The sequence below is a fragment of the Homo sapiens genome, chromosome 2 (assembly GCF_000001405.40).
Source record: "Homo sapiens chromosome 2, GRCh38.p14 Primary Assembly".
In the NCBI taxonomy this organism is placed as follows: Eukaryota; Metazoa; Chordata; class Mammalia; order Primates; family Hominidae; genus Homo; species Homo sapiens.
Window position 1 is genome coordinate 7,158,984 of NC_000002.12, and position 6,678 is coordinate 7,165,661.

Consider the following 6,678-nt stretch of genomic DNA (forward strand, 5'->3'; position numbering starts at 1 on the left):
ACGTCATATGATTTAACCTCTTCACTCAGTTAAGGAGTTTTTGCCAAGTTCCTCCATTGTGAAGTTATAATTTTCTCTCTCCTTACTCTATTCTTGGAAGTGAGTTACCAAAGTCAGACCACTCCCAAGGGTGTGGAAGGTAGATTAAGCTGCACACCTTTTAGTGGAGAGTATCTACATATGCAGCATGAGGTTCTTATGTAAGGATGATGTGTCTTCTCTCATTTATTTACTTGAATATGTGATCATTTATTTATGATTTATAAATCATAAATGAATTTATTCTATCCTATGGATTTATTTTATCCTATGGATTGTAATCCAATACTATATTATTTGTGTTGCTCAAATCAGTCTAGCTTTGGCAATGGGAGCTTTTTCATGTTGGCTCATGTATCCCTTTGATATGCCCCCATGTTTCATCTGTATGTATATGTATATGTACATGTATGCATGTACACACACACACACACACTCACACACACACAAGTTAATACTTGATGTCTCTGACTCTAATCCAACACTCATCACGCATTCATTCTAGCTATTTCTTCTTGCTTACTGGCAACTTCCCTTTCCAACAGTGAGAAACTTGATTCCAACCATCCTCCATCTATTTCTTATTTGTTCAACCCCAGTATACATGCACAGCAGTTAAAGATATATTAATCCATGCCATCATGAAAAGCAAACTTACAAATAGTCTTTCTCTTTAGCCTTATAATTTTCTGTTAAAACACAAACAAACAAAAACCAAATATTTCCAAGCTGACTTAGGTCAGCTCCTCCTCTTCTCTGCAATGAAGTTATTCCTACATCTGTGATACAATTAGATTCATTTGGCATTTGACAGTCCATTCTTGGATTCCTTGACATCTGGTTTAATTGTGATTTCTTAGATTGCAAACATTGAAATTTACTCTTTGACATGTGCAGTCTATGACAGATGCATAGATTCTTGTATTCATCACTCCAGTACCACACACAAGTGCCAAAAAGGGGAAATAACTGACTTTCAGAGTCACTTCTTTTAACATTTTAATGGTTTCCCTTGAGTTTGCAATATACATTTGCAATCAAAGTCCACTTTCAAATAACACTATACTGCTTTATGGGAAATGCAAGTATCTTTTATAACAGAATTCTTAATTCCTCTCTCTTGTTCCTTGTAATAGCTGTCATTCATTTCACTTATCCATAAGCTATAGTTACAGAACACATTCTTGTTATTATTTTAAACAAATTGTTATCTGTGAGAGCCATTAAAAATAAAAAAGGTACTATTTTACCTTCATTCACTCCCCAAATGCTTTCCTTTTTTTCATGTAGATCTGAGTTTCAGACCTGTATCATTTTCCCTCTCTGAAGATGTTCTTTTACCACTTCTTGCAAGGCAGCTCTACTGGTGATAAATTCCCTGAATTTTGTTTATTTTAGAAAGTCTATTTATCTTTCAATTTTGGAAACTAACTGCATTGGATATAGAATTCTAGGTGGGTGGCTCTCTTCTTTCAATACTAGATATTTCACTTCACTCTCTTCTTTGTTGCATGGTTTCTGAAAATAAGTCCAATACAATTCTTATCTTGGTTACTATCTCTATAGGTAAGGGGTTTTTGTTTATTTATTTATTTATTTTTACCTCTGGCTTCTTTCAAGATTTTCTCTTCATCTTTCATTTTTTGTGGTTTAAATATGATATGCCTGGGTGATTTTTTAAAAATCTACTCTTCTCTGTGTTCTCTGAGCTTGGTGAACCTGTGGTTTAGTGTCTGACATTAATTTGAGAGAAATTCTCAGTCACTATTGCTGCAAATCTTTCTTATGTTCCTTTACCTTCTTTTCCTTCTGGTATGCCCATTACATGTATGTTACACCTTTCCTGGCTGCCTGTGTTTCTTGGATATTCTGTCCCTTTTTTTTTTCCCCAGTCATTCTTCTTCCTTTTGCTTTTCAGTTTGAGAAGTATCTTTTGACATATTTTCTAGCTTTCTGATTCTTTCCTTGATCATGTCCAGTCTACTGATGAGTCCATCAAAAGCATTCTTCATTTCTATTACAGTGTTTTGATTTCTACCCTTCATTCTCAGAGTTTCCATCTGTCTGCTTACACAAACCATCTGTTCTTGCAAGTTGTCCATTTTTTCCATTAGAGCCCTTTGCATATTAATTATTATTTTAAATCCCCAGTGTGATGATTCTAAAACTCTGCCATATCTGGTTCTGATGCTTGCTTTATTGCTTCAGACTCTGTCTTTTTATTATGCTTTTTTGAGTTACTTTTAGTTGTTTTTGTTGTTGTTGTTGCTTTTTGAGTCTTTTGTTGAAAGCTCAGCATGATTTACTGAGTGAAAGAAATTGGGGCAGATAGACCTTCAGTACGAGGTTTCATGTTTACCTGGCCATGAGTTAGACTGTTTATTGTTTGCTGCAGCTTTAGGTGTCAGAGGCTAAAATTTTCTCTAGTGTCTTTGTTTTTGTCTTCCCTGTTGTCTGCATTTCTATAAAGACTCCTTCTTAAATATGACTTGAGCCTGGCAGTTCTTTTAGCTGTAATCAACTGTTATTTTACCAATGCCCAGTTGCTGTGTAGTAGGTTTCTGCCTTTGGTGAGCCCAGGCTTCTGGGCTATTACCTTCACAGTTCAGTGAGGCTGTGATCAAACTCACTGTGGTTGAGCTCTGGTAAAATAGTTTCTTTTGAAGGCAGTCCTTTGTTAAAAGAAAAGAATGCTCTCTGCGTATGTTAAAAGAAAAGAATGCTCTCTGCGTATGTTAAAAGAAAAGAATGCTCTGTGCATATGTCCACTTCCCTGCTGAAATGAGGAGGAAATTTTTCTCAGATTACTTATACCCTGATAACCTGATAAGGTTCAGGAGGTAGAACTCATGGGTATGGGTTCCACCTCCAAGACTAGGCCCCCCTGGAGGTTTTAATCCTCAATCTAGTCCACACTAAACTTCCAGCAATTTCACAATTACAATTCAAGATTTTCTATCCTGCTAGAATAATCAATTATGTGAAATACACACACCATTATTTATTATATGTGTATGTGTATTAAATACAATGATATTTGAAATATTTTTGATATGCAGTATATACATATATGTATACATACATCTGTATACTATATATTTATATATACATATATTTATATATGTATACCTATATATTTATATATAGTACTATATATATACTATATACTATATATTTATATATACATATACTATATATATTTATATATACATACCTATGTACAATTAACATATGTAATATTTATGCATATATATATATACACACACACACACATATATATAAACAATTTTTTTTGGAGACAGGGTCTTGCTCTGTTGCCCAAGCTTGAGTGCAGTAGTACGATCACTGCTCACTGCAGCCTTGACGTCCTGGGCTCAAGTGATCTTCCTGTTTCAGCCTCCTGAGTATCTGGGACCACAGGCGCACACCACCATGCCCAGCTAAAATTGTTTTTTTTTTTTTGGAGAGATGCAGTTTCACCATGTTGCTCAGGCTTGTCTCAAACTCCTGAGCTCAAGCAATCTGCCTGTCTTGGCCTGCCAACGTGCTGAAATTTGCTATTGTGAACCACCATGTCCAACCTGTATATTAATATTAAAACATATTTCCAGAAAAAGGAGAATTATTTCTGCAACAAAGGCTATGTACTTTTTGAAGTCTTTGGGTACATGTTCTATATCTCCTGCCTCATCTCTCCTTCTATCATCTATATATGCTTCTGTCTCCTCCCCTTTCTATAATCCATTTTCCTAACAGCACTTTAAAAAGTTATAAAATTTTATACCCCTGTAGTTACAGCTGAAGTAAGTTGTCTCATTGCATATTTTAAAAAATAATTTACTCTTGCAGAGTCGAGGATATTCTTAACTTCACCTTCCATGCACCTTCATTCAAAGAAGGTGTATTATTTCTTCTGCTTTGTTCTCCTGCTAGCTGAGTGTTTGAAATGCGGGTAACTGCATATTGAAAAGCTGACCTCTGATTCTGTGATTTTCTTTCTTTCTTTCCTGCCTCTTACCTGAAAGCAGATAATAGAGGATCCGTGGCAGTAGACCATTCAGGTCCAATAATATGTCCATCTCATAATGCTCTTAGGCTATTGTGTTGCAGTAGATTTTTTAAAACTCTCGTTTCTAGAAATATTAATCAGATGCATATTCATAGTTTAACAAGCATAGCCATGTGAAATTTAAAAGAAGGGTGCTTGACCTGAGGGAAACTTCTGTACAATATGAAATGCAGCTCCACACTTTCAAAAGAGATTTAAACATACCCAACTTTCCTCATTTTACTCATTAAAATTGGTGAAGAGAATGGAGGGAGCTGTCGTTTACTCTCTGGACTGTAACTAATGCCCAATTTCAGAGCTGAAACTCCCCATCTATCTTTGTTCAACTTCAAAGGAGTTTGGAGGCAAGTAAAAGACTCTCTTGAGCTATGAGTCATGATACTCTCCTTTTTCCTCTTTACCAATAAATACCAGTTCTCTCAGGCCCAGCTCTATCAAGGTCATGGATAGTCTGGAGGACCAATGAAGTTGGATGTGAAATGATATCATCAATACTACTGAATTATCCCTAAGAAAGGACATGATGATGCAACTTAAAGACAATCTATTTCAATCCTTTCAATTCATGTATGAGGAAAACGTAGACTTCATGTTTCTCACTGCTTTGCCAACAGTACATAACTGGTTGATGGTAGAGAAAGAACAAGAAATAAGTTTCCCTAGCTCAGTTAAATATGGTTTCCATTTTACATTCTGATTGTTGGACTTACATACTGAGAATCACAGATAACTTGAAACTAATAAGATGAAACACTATATAAGGTAAGTTGTGTTTTCTTATAAAGTATACATTTTCCTCACAGAATATGCAAACACATTTAGGTCTTCATTTGATGGGATAAGCTGCCTTGAAACTCCTTTACATGTGGTAATCTGCCCCTACATCCTAATAAAAAGTTCACTGTATAATCGTTTTAAAAAGGCAAACGTGTGGGGACAATTTACCTCCCAGAAGGCTGTCACCCTGTGACTTGCCATATGGACCTAGGCTTTATACATCAAGATCCACTGCTATTTAATGAGTTACTGCCTGATCAGTATTCCAGAATGTTCAATACAGTAATTCCAAGAAAAATAAAGCTTATTTTTTTCCTGCATTTCTATTTTTAAAATCTCATTGTTTTTATTCTTCTACCCATCCATGTTTGTATTTTTTCTCATTTCATTATTATTTTTTTCCTTTTCTGATGGAACTCATGACATCTATGTGCCATATTTACAATGCCAAAAACATTACCTCCTTTATTTATCAAGTGATACCTATCGCATGACCAGCATCTGTTTTGGCTCTGTAGAGAGTAGACTTGAATGTAAAGCATTTTCCCTGTGTGAGATGTTCTGAAGGTGGCAGAGCAAGACTGCTGCCCTTGCCCGCTACTTGCAATGCTGAAGAACCTTAAGCATACTTAAGCAGCACGTGCTCTTCATTTCAAGTTCAGATGTGTCACCTCCCAACTAACAATATGTAAAACTACATTACAAGGTATGAAATACTTTATTTTCCTTAGAAGTTCTAATGTGATAACAATAGCAAGCATTTATCATGAGCTTAATTTATAACAGGTACTATGTGATAAGAGCTTTTTATCTTATCTGAACTTTTTATAGATAGGAAATCTTATCCCCTTTTACAGAACAGGAAACAGGACCACAAATAATTTGTGTGACTTACCCAAAGTCATACTACTCATGAATGAAACAACTAAAATTTGAATTCCAAAACTGCTTCATAAGAATTATGCTTCAATTGTGGCAAAATGAAACAAAATGAGAAACTCAAATGAACAAGCCACATGTGGGGTTGAAGTTCAGTTCCATCCTTAGGTCAGTGACCCTGAACCAGTGTACATTTCTAAGTTGACTGTCAGTGGTTTTTTTTTTTCTTCAACAAAAATACAGCCACAGATTGGAAAACATTTATCTCCATTTATTTTTCACTTTATAATCCTCCATTTGGAAGTAGCAGGGTTTTGTACTGCATGGAAGAAAACAGAACTAATCTGCAAGATCTGGCTTTACTTAAGGTCACTGAGGAAAAGCAAGTGTGCAGAAGTAAGCCAATAGGTTTGGAGCAGAATAGGGAAAAGAGTTTCCTTGGACTAGACTGATGACAGGTAGATGGATGATGGAGAGATAGATATATAGATAAGACGTAGACGAACAGATGATAGATAGATGTTAGGTAGGTAAATAGATATATCATCGGTAGATGGACAGATAGATGTTAAGTAGACAGGTGGCAGATAGGTAGCTAGACGATAAGTAGATACATAGATGATCAATTGACTGATTGATAAGTAATAGAGATATAGAGAGATAGATGATAGACAGTGATTTTCTCAGCTGCGGAAAAGAGTGATGCCTTTCAGCCTCATAGAAGTGAGGCTCGAAAGCTGTCTCCTGGTCATGGCCCAGAGCAACTGTGGGACCTCAGCAATGATTGATAGACAGATAGATAGATAGATAGATAGACAGACAGACAGACAGACAGATAGATAGATAATAGAGATATAGAGAGACAGGTAGTTAATAGACAGACAATGATTTTCCCGGTGGGGGCAAATAGTGAT